This window comes from Homo sapiens, chromosome 13 (genome assembly GCF_000001405.40).
Source record: "Homo sapiens chromosome 13, GRCh38.p14 Primary Assembly".
NCBI lineage: Eukaryota > Metazoa > Chordata > Mammalia > Primates > Hominidae > Homo > Homo sapiens.
The window spans coordinates 75,870,114-75,890,347 of NC_000013.11; the positions used below are offsets into that span (position 1 = coordinate 75,870,114).

At 39.6% G+C, this 20,234-nt stretch overlaps 2 long non-coding RNA genes across 2 annotated transcripts, besides 2 other annotated features; both read left to right on the forward strand.

The window, feature by feature from the left end:
- Positions 1-924: 924 nt before the first annotated feature.
- Positions 925-13,700, forward strand: LMO7DN (LMO7 downstream neighbor). Its single transcript, NR_164111.1, has 4 exons — positions 925-1,130; positions 3,544-3,621; positions 3,739-3,859; positions 12,937-13,700. It is a non-coding gene; the product is annotated as an LMO7 downstream neighbor (long non-coding RNA).
- Positions 6,454-6,543: a silencer, noted in NCBI's record as "silent region_5406". NCBI's record gives its function as "represses an Ori minimal core promoter by ATAC-STARR-seq in GM12878 lymphoblastoid cells {active_cell/tissue: GM12878}" and the evidence as "EXISTENCE:reporter gene assay evidence [ECO:0000049][PMID:35858748]".
- On the forward strand, positions 6,773-11,014 carry LMO7DN-IT1 (LMO7DN intronic transcript 1). Its single transcript, NR_126373.1, has 4 exons — positions 6,773-6,852; positions 8,602-8,681; positions 9,591-9,669; positions 10,933-11,014. It is a non-coding gene; the product is annotated as an LMO7DN intronic transcript 1 (long non-coding RNA).
- Positions 19,155-19,713: an enhancer, noted in NCBI's record as "OCT4-NANOG hESC enhancer chr13:76463404-76463962 (GRCh37/hg19 assembly coordinates)". NCBI's record gives its function as "activates a minimal SCP1, AML or CMV promoter by ChIP-STARR-seq in naive H9 embryonic stem cells {active_cell/tissue: H9 hESC(naive)}" and the evidence as "EXISTENCE:reporter gene assay evidence [ECO:0000049][PMID:30033119]".

The following is a 20,234-nucleotide window of genomic DNA, read 5'->3' on the forward strand; positions in this document are numbered from 1 at the left end:
GGCTTCCTGCGCATGTAACCTTGATGACCTTACTTTTCCTCCCCGTGCCTCAATTTTTTCACGTGTAAAACAAAAGTGAAACAGGAATCACTAGTAGCACCTCTCATGAGCTTCTTGTGACCAAGAACTGAGTAAATTCACGTGAAGCTCTTGGAAAGGTGGCTGGTGAATAGAAACAATAGATGTTAACTCTTAGCTTTTTGCAAGAAGTAATGCCTGTGCTGTTTTCTACAAAACTTTATTTCAGCTTTCCAGATGAAACAGGATTGACACCATTTTAGAAAAATCAACAATAAATGGCACTTAATGAGACTATGTTCCTAAATCTGCATTTCTTTGTGAGAATTTTGATTTTGCAGGTTCTTCGTATTCATAACACTAGGTGGCAGTGTTAGCACAGACGGGGAAAAAAAACACTGCGGGTTTCCCCATTCCCCCCATTTCCCTTTCCAGTTTTATAACTTTTTAGTCAGCTTTTGAACCACCGATCAGTCCATATTAGTAGTCTGGGGACACCCCAGTGCCGAGTCCTACAGGACACTGGCTGACGGATTAACAGGACATTTCAATGATCGTTGCCTCGTAGGAGCAAATGTGGTCCGGTGCGATGCGAGGAAACTACGTCCTAATTTCTCTATCAGGGGCTTGCACAAGGCTGTTTTTCTGCACAAAAGCTGACTTAGGAACGCTTTAGCTCACTATGCAGAGGCCTGAAGAGTCCTTGATTTTCCTGGAGAGAGCTGGCAGGTTTGATAGAGGCTGTCACGTTTTAGGAATCTCAATGGTCCCCCAGACAATAAGCCAACGGCCTTTGGCGGGTGGGATTTTGCTGAAGTCATTTCTTTGTGACTCTGTGGGCGAGGCAAGTATTTGCCAGGTCACTGGGGTCTTGACTTTAAAAACGGGCAGTTTTTAAACTAAAAGTTTTATTCTTTTTAGATGATTATCCCGGGGCTCCTCTGAGAAAAGTAGGAGTAGATTGCTGGAATTACCATGGGTTAAAATGAAAGAGGATGACCTGGCTGGACAAAGGCGTATGGACTCAGGAAGACGAGAACTCCTGCTCCTTCTCTGAATCGGATTTTCCTGGCTGTAGAGACCAGATCAACCCTTCCATTCCATCGATTTGGGTATCTCTCTCTCTCTCTCTTTCTCTCTCTCTCTCTCTCTTTCTCTCTCTCTATATATTTATATCTATCGATCTATCAATCTATCATGCCTCCATAAATCTGCATGCACACATGTGCATATACACACACACACATTTTTGTTTATTCAACCCATAAATATTTGAGTGCCTGCTGTGTGCCAGTTACTGATCTCAACAACACAGATGAAGCAGTGAACAAAACAGATGACGTTGCTCCTCTTACGGAGCTTATATTATATTATAGTGGGGGGACACATCAGGTGGTAAATACTGTGAAGTAAAGTGATATAAAAGGATAGAGAGTGGTGAGGAATACAGGGGATTCTATTTATTTTGTTTTTATTTAGTATGGATACATAATAGTTGTACATGTTTATGGGGTACATGGGATGTTTTGATACGAGCATACAATGTGTAATGTCAAATCAGGGCAATTGGGGTATCTACCACCTCAAGCATTTATTATTTCTTTGTGTTAGGAAAATTCCAATTCTACTCTCTTAGTTATTTTTAAATGGGCAACAAGCTATTGTTAACTATACTCACCCTGTTGTGTATTTCTATCTAACTGTATTTTGTACCCATTAACCATCCCCATTTTATCTTCCCCACAGCCCTTCCCAGCCTCTGGTAACCATTATTCTCCTCTCTATCTCCATGAGTTCAATTGTTTTAATTTTTAGCTCCCAAATATGAGTGAGGATATGCAAAATTTGTCTTTCTCTGCCTGGCTTATTTCACTTAACATATTGTCATCTAGTTCCATCCAAACTGTTGCAAATGACAATATTTCATTCTCTTGTATGGGTGAAAAATATTCCACTGTGTATATGTGCCACGTTTTCTTTATCCAGTCATCCATTAATAAACACTAGGCTGATTCCCCGTCTTGGCTATTGCGAATAGTGCTGCAGTAAGCATGGGAGTGCACATCTCTCTTCGATACACTGATTTCCTTTCTTTTGGGTATATACCCAGCAGTGAGATTGCTGGATCATATGGTAGTTCTGTTTTTAGTTTTTTGAGTAACCTGCATACCGTTCTCCATAGTGGCTATGCTAATTTACATTCCCTCCAACAGCATACGAGGGTCCTAGGGGATTCTATTTTAGATAGGAATTTGCTTGGGAAATTGAGTATGCTGATGTCTTAGCAGAAACCTGAATGAAGCGAAGGAGTGAGATGTGCACCTTTCTAGGGGAAGAATATTCCAGCCAGAAGGAAGAGCACATAGGTGCTCTGAGGACATTGGTGGGTAATGCTCGGGGGCAGGCAGATTGATGGAATCTGAAACTTATGCAAATTTGTCACCCTCTTTAAGAGAGAATACAAACTTAGGGGCAAATGTGAGTATTTAGAATAAGAAAATCCCATGAAATTACAAAATTAAAAAAGTTGATAAACTGTGTATGCATAGTCCAGTAAGGCATTTTTATTCATTAACTGCCTGACGCATCTGTGTCACTTTTTCCTACAGTTTTGTCTACACACTCTGCTTCTTCATAGGTTTCTGATGGATAATAGGTAATTTAGTCTTTCTCTTAGCATAGTTGAGCCAGATATTGACAGTTTACGCATTTCTTTCAGCTTTACCCTTCTATTTGGTTATGCCATGTACATTTCTAAGATTCTCAACATTGGGAAAACCATCTTAGAAATTTTCTTTGCATATGAGCTGTAATATTTGGAAGAATTTTTATAGATTAGCTTCTGATTTTGTTCATTTCAAACCTTGTTTTTTCCTGCTGCTGAACACTCCTAAAGCTGGCTGCCATGTTCATAACTCATTTGACTTATGCCTTACATCTTCATATCACAATATTGTGGGGTGGGTCATCACAGAGGAAGACAGGCATTTCCTTGAAACCATTTCTGTTCCTAGACAGCTAGTAATACATGGAAGCGACTGCAAGCCACGTGACTGTATCTCACTCACACAAATGACATATCTTTAAATTAACTTCCCCTTCTCCAGGTCTTAAAAATGCCCACGGCCACCCCATTGCCTTCTGACAAGAAGAAAGATGTAACAGAGGGAAAGTAGAAATGAAAAGAGACAGGGATGTCAACTGATTGTGGTTAAGATATTTTTCTTTTGCAAACTTTACAAACTCTTATGACTTTGTCAATGCATTACTGTCCAAGTAAGGGGCCTACACCTTAAGCTTCATGAGCTCCATGGCAATCCACCTCTGGGGGAACAGGAAGATACTCCTGCCCTACTGTTAGGTCATTGAGGGAAAAGGAGGTCTGGAGCATAGGATTTGTTTGGGAGATTAACTTAATATAACCCAGTGTTCAAAACATACTGAACAGACCATAGCTAACAGATTTCCTGTCTTTTACATTTGTGCTTCAACAACACGTATGTCATGAAACCACGGGATAAAAAGACCGCAGTTTCGGGAATGATGATTTCGCTGGAAGTGCGGTGGTGGATAAAGGGGAAGCAGGGTTACGTAATTTCACTGGTAAGTTACTAGTCATCGCAACATGGAAATATTTTTAAAAATATAATTCCCATTTGTAAAGTATGCAGATTGCATGTGACTTTTTTTTTTTTTTTTTTTTTTTTTTTTTCGAGATAGGGTCACGCTCTGTCACCTAGGCTGGAGTGCAGTGGAACATTCTCAGCTCACTGCATCCTCGGCCTCCCAGGGGGCTCAAGCTATCCTCCCGCCTCAGTCTCCCAAGTAGTTGGGACCACAGGTATGCATGACCAAACCTGGCAATTTTTTTTTCTTTTATTACAGACTGGGGTCTTACTATGTTGCTCAGGCTGTTCTTGAACCCCTGACTCAAGCAATCCTCCCACCTTGGCCTCCCAAAGTGCTGGGATTACAGGTGTGAGCCACTGTGCACAGCCGCATATGACTTATTTTTAAGCTAAAACAAACTTCCAGGATAATTTGTCCCTTGCAATGGCCTGCTTTAGGGACATCACCTCTTCTTCAGTTAGGGTTTCTTCAGTAGAAAATGTAGCGAAGTTGCATCCTATAATAGCCTATGACCCCTTGTCTAGCAAGGTGACACTCCTGACAACACTGGAGCTGACTATTTTTCTTCCTAGTTACAGTTATTTGCATGATTTATTTGTGGGATGAGAAACAATCTAGGAGAGAGGCTAAAAGTGCAGGTTCTAGAACCAAATTTCCTGTACCGGACTCCACTGCTCACTCTCTGGGCAAGTAATCTCTCTGTGTCTCAGTTTTCTTCACCTGTAAAATGGGGATCATAATAGTACTACACAGATCATGCAGTTGTTATGAGCATTCACTAAAGTAATTTTGGATGTAGGACAGTGACTTGGCACAAAGTCAGTATACAGTCTTTGGCAGCTACTTTATTTTTTAAGTTTTTAATTGACAAGTAGTAATTATATTTATGGGATACCATGTGATGTTTTGATGTATGTTTACCTCGTAGAATGATGAGATCAAGCTAATTAAAAAATCCATGGCCTCACATATTTACTTTTTTGTGTCTGTGGGGAAAACATTTAAAATCTAGTGTTTTGGCAGTTTTGAAATATACAATGCATTATTATTTACTATAGTCGCCATGCTGTGCAATAGATCACTAAAGCTTATTACTCCTGTCCAACTGAAACTTTGTACTCTTTGATCAACATGTTTCCTTTCCCCATTATCCCTCCCCCAGCCTCCCTGGACCCACCAGTCAGTTACTTTAATGATCTCGCTGTGTTTCTTCTCAGCCTTTCCCCTCTGCGATCCTCAGTCTGTGCTGGTAAGAGAATTAGCTGGAATTCGTGGTGCCACTTCTGGAACATGTAAAAAGGCCCAACTAATCAGGATGGGATGTGTCACCAGACCTCATAAGGGCCATGGTCATAGTTTTAAAAATTGTCTTAAAGCAGAATTTTTTTCCCCAAATAAAAACATAAAAAGTGTGGATGCTTAGGTTGAACCAGAGAATCAGGGGCCCCCAGAAGCCCACCCTAGTATCACCAACCCTCTCTTGCAGAGTCCTGAGAACCCTCCGACACCTTATTGTTTCATAGAACACAGTTCAAAAAACCCTAAAACTTGGCAAATTCTCTTTCCTAAATTTCAAAAGAAAAGGCAGGTATTCGTCTAAATATAGCCAGGCCATCCTGTCATGTTAATGAGGCTAGGTTTACTAAGGGCAATTTACCCACCTATAAATCTGTAGAGCTGTGTTTGAGGTTGTCTTTAATCTTGTCTACCAACCAAACCTCTGACCAAAATTTCAAATTGATTGACTTGAGTTTCATCTCTAGTTTCTGCCTTGCTTATTTGTATGGTTTTGGGGAAGACAATAAAGGAAGGAAATTGAGGGTTGGTTGCTTTCATTTTAGATTCAACTAACATTTATTGAACATCTAGACGCCATGCCATGAACTCTCATTATTAACCTGTAAAGTGAGTATTTATATTTTAAGATGACTAAAGTGAGGCTCACAGACATTAAAAGCCTTGTTCATAACAGAACTGAAATGAGTTACAGACATTTTTTTACCCAAAGTTGTAGATTTTTATATCCACTGTATATTGCAATGTGAAAATGGTAACATCTTGCATTTATATAAAGCTCTGTTATGTATAAAACAACCTTTCCTTTTGAAAATCTTGCCATTTGGAACTCAGATATAGTTCTTTTTTTTCCTTTTTTTTTTTTAAAAAGCTAATTATTGGTTCTCAAACTAAAGATGACAAAATCTAGTCTGTGAAAATCAGTCAAAAACCAAAGACCACTTAAGAGACGTACCCGGGATTCAAACCAGTTCATCTGGCTGCAAACCATTCCCAGCCCACCACACCCCAGGGTGAGAACCTTTACCTCTTGTATCCAACCTCAGCCACTTTCCTGGTAAAGTGTGTGCTTGGTGACCCCTAAATCAGGATTTTAAAAATATGCATCAACTTGGCTTCTTTTGCTCCATGGGAGCCCAGCCCTCTCTGATCATAAGCACCGCAAGCTTCCCTTTATTTTTCAACAACCATTTCATTTATGCCTGGCTCCAGGTGGCAGGAGGGCTGGCTGTTTAAACTCTTTCATTACAAAAGGAAAAAGAGCCTTATTGCATAAGAGAGGTGATGGGAGGGAGATCAGTACTTTGTATCCATTAAACACCCAGCCTAAACTTACCTCGGATCTCTGAAGCCCTGCTGTGGTTAGAAAATAACATGAAGAGGAGTGCTAAGACCTGGATTCCAGTACCGCCTTTTAAAACACCGTTATCTTGGGGAAGTCACTTTACCTCTTCAGCCCTTGGGTTTCTGGTCAATAAAATGCGATGTTCGGACGCATGCCTGAAGTGGGCTTGTCTCACCACTAGGGGGAAGGCAAATACAACTCTTGGGTGCTTCTGTAGCTCACACGAGGGTAAATAACGAAAAGTTTTAATATAAACTTAAAAATTAAAAAACAAAAATAAGTAAAATAAAACTTGGGGTTTCTGATAGGGCCTTTGAGTACTCTCAACTCTAGCCCTTCTTGTTGTTTAGGTTCAATTACATGCATTGCATGCCACAAGAATGTCTAGCATTTTTTGAGTGTTTACTGTGTGGAAGACACTGTATGGAACATGTTACCTTTAATCCCCAGGAAAACTGTGCAAGGCGGGCATTATCCACGTTTTACCCAGAAGGATCCTGAAGCTCACAGAGGTTATGTAGCCTGCCTAAGGTTACCCAGCTAGCAACTGGCAAAGCTAGGAGGTAATGCAGATCTGATTGCTTCTAAGCCAGACTCTGCTTTTATTTTTTGCTGATTCCCATAGTTCCCCTCTCTCACAGCCCACTGGATGTGTGCATATGGTCCACTCCATCACTACAGTCATGAAGGATAATGCCATGAAAACATTTTGCTCTGTGTTTGAGTGATTCTGATTTCATGAAATGATAGAAATTATAACTATGTTAAATATTGTCAGAACATTATTTCTGGAATAGTATTTGATTAACTTGTACTGTCTCCATTCATCCCACAGAGCTCTGGGGCCCACATTCCACACTCCTTTGTTCTTCCAGGAGGCTGTTCTCCACCAGTACCTCTCCTATTTTCTCTCTCTGCAGCTTACAGCTACCAATGACCGTAGGAATCAACACAAACTCTCCCATCCGGCCTCTACTGTTTGCCATTTGCCCCTCCCCATCTCACCTTAGCTAAGGTTTTGCATTGACCTGCTATTTCCAATCACGTCAGTCAATGTATGTTTCTTAACAGTAGCCACCATTTGAACTATTCTGTCATACTTGCCACGTTCAGTTGCTTAGCATTTTTAACATCAAATTCAAAATGTATCCTTCAAAATACTTTCATTGAATATCACTACCAAACTCTGAACATGACTTTGCTTAACTTTTATTTTCTATTTTATTAATTTAATCACCTTGTATTTTGCCTCTCAGATCTCTTGTTTCATGTGTTTACAGTATATTCCTAACTAGATGTGAATTTCTTGAAATCACTGGTATTTGATTTCTCCAAGTATTTAGTTGGGTATTAATAATAAAATACTGAGCTGGATTCCATTTCTAATCCTAATTAATGAGGCAGGAAGCCGATCAGGTGCATCATTTCACAGCTCAGTCAATCATCAAATATTAAGTGCCTCCTGGGGGATATTGTGGGAACCTATAATGTTCCAAATTCTATGCTTTGTGCTTTAATACATGGTCTCATATAATTCTCCCAAAAACTCAGTGGAGAAAACACCATTATTATCATTCCCAATTGACAAATGAGATAGCTAATGGCCAAGAGTCTTATTCAAAGTCACAGTGCTGATCAAGGTGGGATTTAAATCCAGGCAGTGTGACCCCAGCTAAAGCTCATGCCTTTAATCACTCCTGTATCCCACCTTATATCCAGACTTTGGCACTGCTTTGCCTTGAGGTTGCAGAACTGGGGGCTAGGAGAAAGTACAGGAATAATAATGGGGAAAGTCATGAGAGTGGAACTGGGTGGCTGGGTGGAAGTCTTCTTGTTCCACAGTGTGAATCTCCCTGTAACCACAAACATCTTGAAGAAGTAAATTCTACTAAATTTCATGAAATGCTTCAGAGTCAAGTCCTTACAGAAACTCTAGGAAAATGCAAAGTAGCTCAAGAAGGTGCAAAAGTCTTAGTGGAAATTCTGATTTTATCTAGATTTCTTAAAGAACTGCGTGCCTCAGCTACTGTGAGCAAAAGTTACTAGTTTGGTCACCAGTCTCTAAAACTAAACCAAACCAAAACAAACAACAAACAACAGAAAACATGTATCACTTTGAACTAAAATGACTCAGTGAGAGAACGTGTTGATGTCAAACAAAGGTAAGTTCCCAGCTGAGGATCACTAGGCTTCTGTGGTCTTCCCAAGTCCACTGCTACATGGTCACTGTGAGAACTGCTTGTGGCCTTGAGAGTGCACAAAGGCTGGTACTCTTCTTTATCCTGTCCCTTGTTTCTTTGCATCTGTTATAGTTGCTGCAGAATAGCAAGCCTATCACTCACAATGGCCAGAAATCAGAACAAATGATCATTACAAACAACCCATGTAGACAGTAAGTGCCAATTCATTATTAGATTTGATTAGTCCAAACATGTGCTGTGCTATTTCTCTGATTGCTAGCAAACAAAGAAGAGGTGGGCTGTGGGCTAGACTTTAGGTGGCATGGAAGACTAGGGTTGGCTGCTGACATTGGCAAATCTGGTAGGTTTTCAGAAAAATATCAGAGGGTGATTAGAGCATATGGGACATTCCAAAAACAGAAGGTCAAGTAAGTGGTACCCAAACCTCTCTGATTATTGGAATTACCTCATGGGTTAAATAAATACAGATCCTAGGCTCTGTCTATGACCTATTGAAACTTTAGTCATGGGAGATGAGAAGTTGCATTAAAAAGTAAAAATTCCCCATGTGATTTTGATAATCATTTTGAGGAACAATTTATTTGAGGACACATTTCATAATTGGTCTTTACTTATTATTTTTGAAACTTTCGCTGTTCATTTCTTGGTGGAGATCCAGGACTATTTTCTTGGTTACAAAGGTCAATTAGTTAAGCAAAGGAATAAGTGGACCAAGCACTCAGAAGGATTTATACCGTGTGTGTGTGTGTGTGTGTGTGTGTGTGTGTGTGTGTGTGTAATGTATTTAAAATATGACTTAAGGTGTATAATTAAGCCCAGTGAAAATGTAGTATCTTAGGGTTTCGTTTTATGATACATTTCATGTGTGAAATGATAATGATTATGATATAATAAAAATGATCATACTCAGAACCCATCTCAACAGTGTCAATTATGCATCATTGCCAAGTGCATGGCTATTGTAGGTCACTTCAGTTTCTTTCTTTCCTTCTAGGTTAAGATAATTGCAATTTATTGTCTTCTAAATGTAGTATCTTGTACTTTTCAAGTATTGAAAAAGACCAGTACAATTCGCATAATGACGATTGCCATTTCCCCAGGTTTTCTATCGTAAGGCAGTGATTTTTGAGTCCATAGATGGGCCAGTAGGAAGTCTACACTGAAATCAGCATTGTGCCTGTAAGTTTGCTTGGGGATCATCTCAATAAACTCTGGGACATACACTTCTTTCTTCAGAAAAATCAGTCATATTTTTCTGGCATGGAGCCAGTTGTAAGACAAAGGACTATGTCACTAGTTATAGCACTATTTCTGAACTAAGTAATATAGAATGTTCTTAATTGCCAGAAAGAGATAAAAAATAGGTATAATGACTAGATATCCACGTGTGCATCAGAGGCTCTGATACAGAGGAACCAGTGTTGGAGATTCTGTGATTGCTTTAAAAATAAACTCAAAATAAATTGAAAAAACATAAAAGCTGCAATTCCCAATTAGGTGTCTTTAAAGTAAGTATTGGAATGGAAAGGAGATTTTAATTAAAAAAATAAAAACTCCTATTAAAAAGTATATGTTTACTATGAAAAGCCTAAGTAAGAAATTTTTTAACAGGCATTTTTTGGGAAACAAAACTTTAAAAAAATAGACACAAAAAGGTATAAATGGAAATAATAAAATTTTGAAAGAATAAAAGTGTTGAAAACTGTGCTTCAAGATGTTCATTACACAAAAAGAAACTGGATTCCTTGTATCCAATTTTATTTTGTAACATAAACTTTATCATATCATTTAGAATAGTGGGTCTCAACTTTCTGAAGGCACAAAACTTCATTTATTTTCCAGTAACCCCTACATAATAGTATGTGTACTTGGTTATCATGTAATGATTGTGGCAATGCATAATTAGAAAATCATAATGATTTAATAGCACTTCAAATAATTGCTATTTCATAAATCAGAGCAGTGCATATGAATCGTATAAATTTTAAAACAGTAGCAGCTATATGTGCAAGATATTTATGCAATCTACAGACATTGTTTGAGTATATATGCTCTGAAAATATGGATTCTTCTCTCCCTTCTTGTATTAATTCTCCAAATCTCCAGGGGACTCATGGCCCACATATTTGGGATAATTATAGAGTAAAAGCAAGAATAATGAATGATTTGTTAACCTCTCCCAGAGATATGTCGTCAAAGGCCTTTAGGCTGAAATGTATTCTCTCCCACTGAGGTCTGCACTGAGCACCACTTACATCTGATGGAGCCCATCTTGCTGACCTGGATCCCTGGCCACATGTGTCTGAACAGTATGATATGGAAGAGAGCCAGAGAAGGGGAGCCAGTTGCTAGTGCTGAATGAGGATTTGGGGCTGATCATTTTGTCTCCCTTTTTATTTGCGAAATTAAGACTCCAATGCTTTTGTTATTATCCTATTGTAGGATACTGAGAGGAATAAAGTTGATAGGAAGGAGCAATCAGAAAGCTTTGGCTGAAAAGAATGATTTAAACCACTGGAGAAAACTTGTCCTATTATGAAGAAAGAAGAGGAACCGATATAAACTTGTGGGTTTTTCTGTTTATGTAAATCAATGACAAGGGGTCTGGAGTGTGCAATTTTCTTGCACATATGTTATTCTTTCACAAGCAGATGTAAATAAAGGCACCCAGCCTGCAGGAGAAAGTTTTGAATAGCGGGTCTGAAATACCTCTGCTTGTTGTTTACCCTCTCCTGTGGTTAGCCTGACCTGTAAATCATGCTTTAGACTCCGGCTGAACCTCCCCCAGTGCCATGTAATACCCAGTACTCAGTGGTGTGTAAAAATTCTTTGGAAGTTGCTTAGATGAATATATAATAACTTTTCATAATTCAAAATACCATTTATTTAACTCACAAGAGAGGAACTCTAATCATGGCAATATGAAGTACTATAATGAACCACAGGGTAGCAGATGGGCCCTGGGGTAAACAGTTTCTGTACTATTGATTTACTTATTTGATTTCCTTGTGAAACGTTCATGACCTGAACCATTGCTGTAGAATACAAATGCAGGTTTTCAATCCAAGTCAGGCATTAAGATTATTTCTTTAAAAAGAATCTGAGTGTTCTCTGGTAAGCCAAAGGAAGACTAGTTAGTGTCTTGGGCCCTGGAAATCAGTGTTTTGCAGTTTGATCAGGTTTGCAAGAATGATTTCTCTATAGAGAGTGCCACAACTTCTATCAAGACACCATCCATATTATTTCATTTCTAGAAACTTCCATTTAGAGCTCACTATCTTCATGACATTCTGTTGTATATATGTTTGTGATCTGAAGATATTAAGATATGATTCTTATCCTCAAAACAATACACAATATTTACAATAGCCATATGATTACAGAAGACTATCAAACATATAAGATGCAAGCTTAAATGCCTAGGGGTCCAGGCAGAGAGTGTCAATGTGTGGAGCTGCCGCTATATGACAATAGGGAGTGGTGGGGACTGTGCCCGACTGGGACATTCATTAACCTCTTAAGTTCAAATTCATATTTAAAAACACTGCTCTGCTGGTCAAGGAAAAACATACATGGGGGCTACATTAACTCTGTTGGACTCTTTTTGGGTGCACATACTCTTGTTCGAGTGTCTAGCAGCTATGTAAAGTTGACTTAATTGACACAATTTTGCAAATAAGGTAGAGGCTCTACAAGGTCAAGGTCTTGGCCAAGGTGACTTAGTTAAGTAGGAGGGCAAAGATAAGAAGTTGAAATTCTATGGACCCAAGCCTGGATATTTTTTTTAAAAAACTAGCAGAGGCAGGAAGAAGCCAGAAATGGTAACTAATTATTTTGCATTTACTCACTCTTCTGATATCTGACTCATTATTCAAGGGCTCCTCCAGTGAATTTACCTTGCCAGTTTCCCCATATTTTCATATAACATTAAAGAACACAGTAAATGCGGGTGATCCCTTCATAATCAACATGCTTCTAATATGTCAGGGGTCTCTAGGTTACAACCAATATATTCACTGATTTGTTTTCCAAAGACAGGATGAGGTTGCTGAGTAAAACAGCTTCATGAAAAAAAGGGAGCAGCTACCCTCTGAGCAGGCTGGTCTATCCAGAGTGGACTCAACACAGAGCTATAGATTTCTAGGGATTTCTGAGCAGGATGTCCAGAATGAGTGTGGGACTTGAGGTCTTATCTTTAGGCCAAACAAAAATATGGACTTTGGAATTAAGAAAAGCTAGATACAAAACCTCTGGTCCTGGGTGACTTTGAGGAATCTGATTAAACCTTTGATGTCAATTTTGTTGTTTGAAAATGGAGAAAAATATATCATAGGGGTTAAATAAGTGAATATAGTTAAGCCAGGTGTTGAGTGCAGTTATTACTATTAGTGAATCATAGGTATTCAATAATGCTGGTTCTCATCTCTTCATCTTTCTTTCCCCTAGCTTTGTATCTGGTGGAGGAGGCTTGGGCCGAAGCTGGTAAAATGAGAAGTTAGGGGAGGATGTCCTCAGAGAGCTGGAAGATCACAGTCCTCATTGTCACAACCGATACAGTGTTGATAGGGACAACATATGCCTTGGAATGTTTCAAATACTTTGCCACAATTAAGGGACACTGAACAGGAACTCAGTTTTGGAAAACAAAGTGGAATTTCTGGAAACTGCTAGCATAAAAGCTTTGACAGGGTCACATGCAGATTAGCATAATTTTATTACATTTTCTATTTTAGTCCTGTGAGATACTAATTTGGATTTCATTGTGCCCATTGAGCGGCTTTTGTTCTTTGGCTGTGAGTTTAATTATTTAGTTATTTATGAGTGCATCTGGGCATAAGTGCCACAGTTTTATTTCGGTGACAAATTTATGGTCAGTGAATTTTAGTAATTAATGAATAAATTATTTCTCCTCCATAAATGCCCCTGCAATTTCTGATTTTCATAACAATTCATAATACTTAAGAAAAATTCTTTATTAGTTGAAAAAGCCAATGCTAATGGAATCAGGAAAAGGAGATTTCAAATTGCTTTAATTAACTGTATTAATTAATATCCAATATGTGTAAGATATTGAATTGGCTTTGGTTGTCTCTCTTAGCATTTAGTTGCCTAAAATCTGTTTAACATATGAATATACTGTGTTAAAATAAATTCTAATTCTTTTGTGAAGTAAATGGCAAGAATAAAAGGATCTCCTTTATAATCTTTAATTCATGGTGTACCCTCAAGTCCTTGAAATTTACCAAAGATAAAAAATTTGCATATATAAACAAATGCGTATATTAGCATTCTAAAAAAGAAAACCATAAGCCACTTTGTAATGTGATTTGAAGGAATTAGGGAAGTTTACAACAGTTTGTATGTTTCAACTTTTTTTTTTTTTTTTTGCGATGGAGTCTTACACCGTCGCCCAAGCTGGAGTGCAGTGGTGCTATCTCGGCTCACTGCAAGCTCCGCCTCCCGGGTTCACGCCATTCTTCTGCCTCAGCCTCCTGAATAGCTGGGACCACAGGCGCCCGCCACCACGCCCGGCTAATTTTTTGTATTTTTAGTAGAGACGGGGTTTCACCATGTTAGCCAGGATGGTCTCGATCTCCTGACCTCGTGATCCGCCCACCTCGGCCTCGCAAAGTGCTGGGATTACAGACGTGAGCCACCATGCCCGGCCTCAAATCTTTTTTGAAGCAAAATCAACACAAAAAATTTCATTAAACCCTATTCTCCACAAATCACTGCACTAAGTGGAGTGGGGCAAGAAATGATGAATAAGAATAATCCCCACCCTTCCGGAGCTCACGGCTGAGTGAGGAGGATGGAAGACACAGTTATTCGAATGATTAAGGGAGTTTGCAAGAATGTATGAGTATGAGCGTGTATAGAACTAGTCCTCACCAATGCTCTAAAACAGAGCCATGCTCCTTCGCTTTGTAGGGCCTGGTTTAAGTTTTACTCTAGAAATATCAAGCAACAGATTGTTTCCTTGCGGACAGGGATTCTTGTAGGTTTTTTCTTGATTTTTCTCTTTTCCCTCACAACAATATTCATTCCATCAATAATTCCTGTCACCTCTACTTTCAAAGTATATACAGTCAGGTATCGCTTAATGAAGGGGATAAATTCTGAGAAATTCATGGTTAGGCAATTCTGTCGCTGTGTGCCCATTACAGAGAGGACTTAACACAAACCTAGATGGTGTAGTCTACTACGCACCTAGGCTATATGGTGCAGCCTGTTGCTCCTAGGTCACAAACCTATGCAGCATGTTACTGTACTGAATACCATGGGCAATTGTAACACAATGGTAAGTATCTGTGTATCTAAACATAAGAAAGGTACAGTAAAAATACCGTATAAAAGATACAAAATGATATGGGGTGCTTTCCATGAATGGAACTTGCAGGACTGGAAGTTGCTCTGGGTGAGTCAGTGAATGAGTGGTGAGTGAATGTGAAGACCTCAGACATTGCATTACTGTAGACGTTCTAAACACTGTACAATTAGGATATACTAAATTTATTTAAAATGTTTTTCTTTCTTTAATAATAAATTAACCTTAGCTTACTGTAGCTTTTTTTTACTTCATAAACTTAAAATTTTAAATTTATTGACTCTTTTGTAATAAAATTTAGCTTAAAACACAAATACATTGTACAGTCTTACAAAATATTTTCTTTCTTTATGTCCTTCTTCTTCTTCTTCTTCTTTTTTTTTTTTTTGAGACAAGGTTTCACTCCCATTGCCCAGGTTGGAATGCGGTAGCACAATCTCTGCTCACTGCCTCAACTTCCCGAGCTCAGGTGATCCTCCTACTTCAGCCTCCTGAGTAGCTGGGACTACAGGTGCATACCACCACACCTGGCTAATTTTGTATGCTTTTTGTAGAGACAGGGTTTCACTATGTTGCCCAGGCTGGTCTTGAACTCCTGAGCTCAAGCCGTCCACCCTCCTTGGCCTCTGAAAGTGATAGGATTACAGATGTGAGCCACTGTGCCCAGCCTATGTCCTTATTCTATAAGCTTTTTTCTTTTTACATTTATTTTTTTTTTACTTTTTAAACTTTTTTGTTAAAAACGAAGACGCAAACACACATGCTAGCCTAGGCCTACACAGGGTCAAAATCAGGATCGTCAATATCACTATCTTCCACTTCTATACCTTATTCCACTGGAAGGTCTTCAGGGGCAATAACACACATGAAGCCGTCATCTCTACGAAAACAATGCCCTCTGGAATGCCTCCTGAAAGACCTGCCTGAGACGGTTTTACAGTTAACCTTTTTTAAAAATAATAAGTAGAGGGAATACACTCTATAATGATAAAAAGCATAGTAAATACATAAACCAGTAACAGCCATTTATTGTCATTTTCAAGTATTATGTACTTTACATCATTGCATGTGCTAGATCTTTCTACAACTGGCAGCTCGGTAAGTTTGTTTACATCAGCCTCATCACAAATGTGTGCTCAATGTGTTGCACTATGATATTACCATGGCTAGGTCATGATGGCTACAATGTCACTAGGTGATAGGAATTTTTCAGCTTCATAATAATATTATGAGACCACCATTGTCTATGTGATCTGTTGTTGAATGAAATGTTACGTGGCGCATGACTGTATGGAGTCTGCACACTTCTACCACTGCCCTACAGCCTAAGCCTCTGCCAAGACTTTGTTTCTTTTTGATGCTCCCCAGTCAATTCTCCACCCAGTAGCCTCAACGTTTCCCTCTCTGATCCAGTCATGTAGGATTTTTTGTTTCTCCAACATGCCCACTCTTATTCCCAACCCAGGGCCTTTGTTCTTCCTCTTCTCTCTGCCAGAATCATTTTCCTCCAGATACTCTCATGCTTCATTTTCTACCTCATTTGGGTCTCTCTCTACTCAGATGTTACCTTCTTAGCTTTACCTGACTCTTTAAAACAACTTCCCTATCACCTCCACCGGACCGTTTTTTCATGGTCAGGGTTTAAGCAGAAAAACTTGATCTGTCGTCTGTCTGTATGTCTTTTGGTAAGTCTGTTGATTTGTACTGTTTTTCCCTCTCTCTCTCTAGCTGTTGCTGGAGCTTAATGTCCACAGGGCAGCAGTCAGGAGAGAAAAATGAATGTAATAATGGGTATATGGTAGAGTGATCAGGGGCTAACTGGAACCCACAAGCATGAGCTGAAACTCATGAGGATGGACTGAAACATGTGTTGTTGTTGCCTTTGGCTTTGCAAAGAGGATATTTATTTGTTTCATGAAAACAGATATTTTTACTAGTGTGCAACAGAATAGTACTTGGCACTTAGTTGCTATTCAAGAAATATTTATTGAATGAATATGATATCTAAAGATGTCTGGTCTGAGGACAAGAGCCATGATCAAATCAAGAGGTTGGGAGAGCAGGCTAAGTCAACTGGCAATGCTGGTTTATGGAATGAGCTGGACCCCATTTAGAGACTGAGCAGGAAGCAACTTCCTCTTTCTCCTGCTGCCCCTTCAAACATACTGTCAGGGGCCAGATCTTCCCATCACTAGACAAAACTTTAGGCAAGTCTCATAGCATTTCTAATATTCTTCAGCCATAAGAGCAGTCTCATTCAAGAGAGACTACATTAAGTCTTTAAACTTTTAACCAGGATAAAGCTTCCATTCACCCCAGGTTGGTCCTGCTTTGAGCATGGAAGTCTGTGGTGAGGGAGGAGGGCATTGCCAGCTTCTCTTCTCAGCCTTTCCTCTCTCACTCACCTTTTACTGGAGGCTGGCTTTGTCCCTCCAGTGCTGGGTCATGCAGGACAAGGGATTAGGGAAGAAGGCTGTAGACTTCTGAGCGGGTGTGAGTGTAAACTGAAGTTCTTGCCCTCTGGATGCAAGACTGTGATGTATTTTCTGGTTCTTTCTTTCATTAGAGCTTTTGAGTGTTTTCTGACTGTCTTTCCTGCATAGAACTGCCAAGCAAAATTATGATAATAATGCCTTCTCTTGCTGGTGGCTTTGGGGAATATACACTCTGCCTGCTGTTACATGTTCTTTGCTCACCTTTGCAGTTCCATCAGTTCCTTAGCCTTCAGACTGTGGAAGTGAGTCGGATCCAAACCTCTACAGCCCTCACACCCCAGAGGACATGCCAGGCCCTCCAGGTGGAGTGCTTCTATGACTGAAAGTTGAGGGGAAGCAACCCCCTCTTTAACTTTGCAGGGAGAGTTGTGCACACAGCCCTCACACGTCTCTCTCCAGAAAAGCCCTCTTTTCTGGCCTCTTCTCCCCTCCATTAATGAATTGTTTGTTTGTTTGTTTGCATATGGCCTGGTGGTGACTGGTGGATTAATGCTGGTCTGATTGGTTTGAAAATCCCTTCACCCGTCCTTTGGCCTTCCTGTGCGATCTTACCACTCTGCCTCAGGACGTGCAGGTACTTGCCACTTACTTTATTTTTCATGGAAGCTCTGCAAAGATGCAGAGTCAGAAGCATCCCATTTTACTAGCCTATTATAAAGAGGGGGAGATTAACTTTGGTTTCAGATATTGCAGCAGAACCTTCCTAGGTCATTACCTGATTTCCAAACACCTTCTCCATCAGCTTGTTGCTGTTGCGTAAAATGCTAACCTTATGGAATCTTTCCTTGGTATTAAGAATTTGTCGCTAATTTAACAATGCCAAATGACCTCTTCATTCAATTGATGAATGGGACTGCTTTCGTGTTAAGCTTTTAACAAAGCTTTTATTCTGCCCTCACAACTCTGAAAGTAATGTTATTATTTGCATTTTACAGATATGGAAATTGAGGCTTAGGGAGGTTGATACCACAGTGGGGTTGCATACCAGATAACAGGGCCCTATAGAATTTGAACCCTGGTCTCTCTGATTCCAGAGTTTGTTCTATTAAACTCTATATGTGGATAATTAGAGTATGAATGTTGGAATAATTGAGATAATTGTTATTCCTTTGAAACGCAGGAATCAGCCACCAGTGTCTAGGGTCTACTCTCCTGTAATGTTAGGCTGCGTGAGAACAGGGTAGAACCTGCCAGTCATGGTGCAGTGGTTTATCCATAGCTAAACTAGTCAAAACCAAACAGAAGAGGCAAAATCCAGAAGAGGAACTACTGTAACACATGTGATTTAAAAAAATGAGTAAAAACTGCTCAAGGGTTTGGTTCCTTAGTGGGAATTAGTGACTTAAACTGGGGGTAAATAAATATGGATTGGAGGGCAAATCTAAGAATAGATTTGTAAAACCAGAGAAAATGACTGAGGTGAGTCTCAATCAATTTAGAGGTTTATTTTGCCAAGGTTGAGGATGTGCCGAAGAAAAAGAGACATGAGCCACAGCAGGATCTGTGGCCCACAAGTTTTTCTAAAGAGGATTTGGAGGGCTTCAACATTTAAAGAAAAAAAACAGACAGGAGGGAAAAGGGGAAAGAAAAAAGAGGGTGGGTGATGTGGTTAGGCTTCGTGTTCCCACCCAAATCTCATCTTGAATCGTAATCCCCAGGTGTTGAGGGAGTGACCTGGTGGGAGATGATTGGATTATGGGGGCAATTTCTCCTATGCTGTTCTCATGATAGTGAGTGAATTCTCATGAGATCTGATGGTTTTATAAATGGTAGTTTTTCTTGAGCTTGCACATGGTCTCTTTCTCTCACCTGCTGCCATGTAAGAGCTGCTTGCTTCCCCTCCTGGCATGATTGTAAGTTTCCTGAGGCCTCCCCAGCAATGTGGAACTGTGAGCTGATTAAACCTCTTTCCTTTATAAATTACCCAGTCTCAGGTATTTCTTTATAGCAGTGTGAGAACGAACTAATACAGAAGGTATGGTCACATTCTTGTGAGGCTTTGATTAGAGCTCACTGAATTGACATGTTGCATGAAAAGGAGGGGTTAAAGGGAACAGTCAATTAGGTATTCATCTGGTGCTCAGTAAATCTGCACTTTACAGGATGGGCTGGGGGAGGGGATGATTTCTAGTCTCCTCTTATCCTTTACCATGAAGATAAGCTGTTAATTTACATTGTCAGGGTGAGGGAGGCTAACTGTGGAGATCTGTGGCTTTCTATCTGTAGCTATTTTACTTAGGAACAAAAGAAAAGGCAGTTTTTTTTGCATGACTCAGCTTTTAAGCTTAACTTTTCCCTTTGGCATAGTGAGTTTGGGGTCCTAGGATTTTTATTTTCCTTTCACAGTTTCTAAGTAGCCAGAAAGGAGTTGAAACTTGGATGATGAGCAGAAAATTTTGGTTCTCAAAAATATCTGTGTTATTCTTTTTCCTGGGTGCATAGCTGAACAATATTTTCCAGATCCCTGGTAGTTAGTTTGGGGCCATTTGACTATCTGTCTGATAGAATACGGGTGAAAGTGATATAAGCCACTTCTAGGCCTGGCCCATGTAAAGCTCCTGGGCATGACCCTCATTTCTTCTCTCTTCTTGTTTTTCAGCAGCCTTGAAAGTCACATTGAAAGTAGCAGCACTTCCAGATTCAAGGTGTCTGGATGCCTGAGTTCTCCTGTTATCCACTGCTCACCACTTCTTACTGTCCCACCCTCCACCATAGACTAACATTGGACTGTGGCATGAGAGAGAAACAAACCTTTGTTGTATTAAGCTGTCAAGAACACAGGTTCTTGGCTACATAAGCCAATGTTACTTATCTTGTAAGAAAAGGATGCACAATGGCCCAAGCTAAATTCTGCTTAAAGTGTCAGTGCTGCTACTTTTCTCCTATGTTCTTGCCTTTTATTTTCAATCCCAAAACTCAAA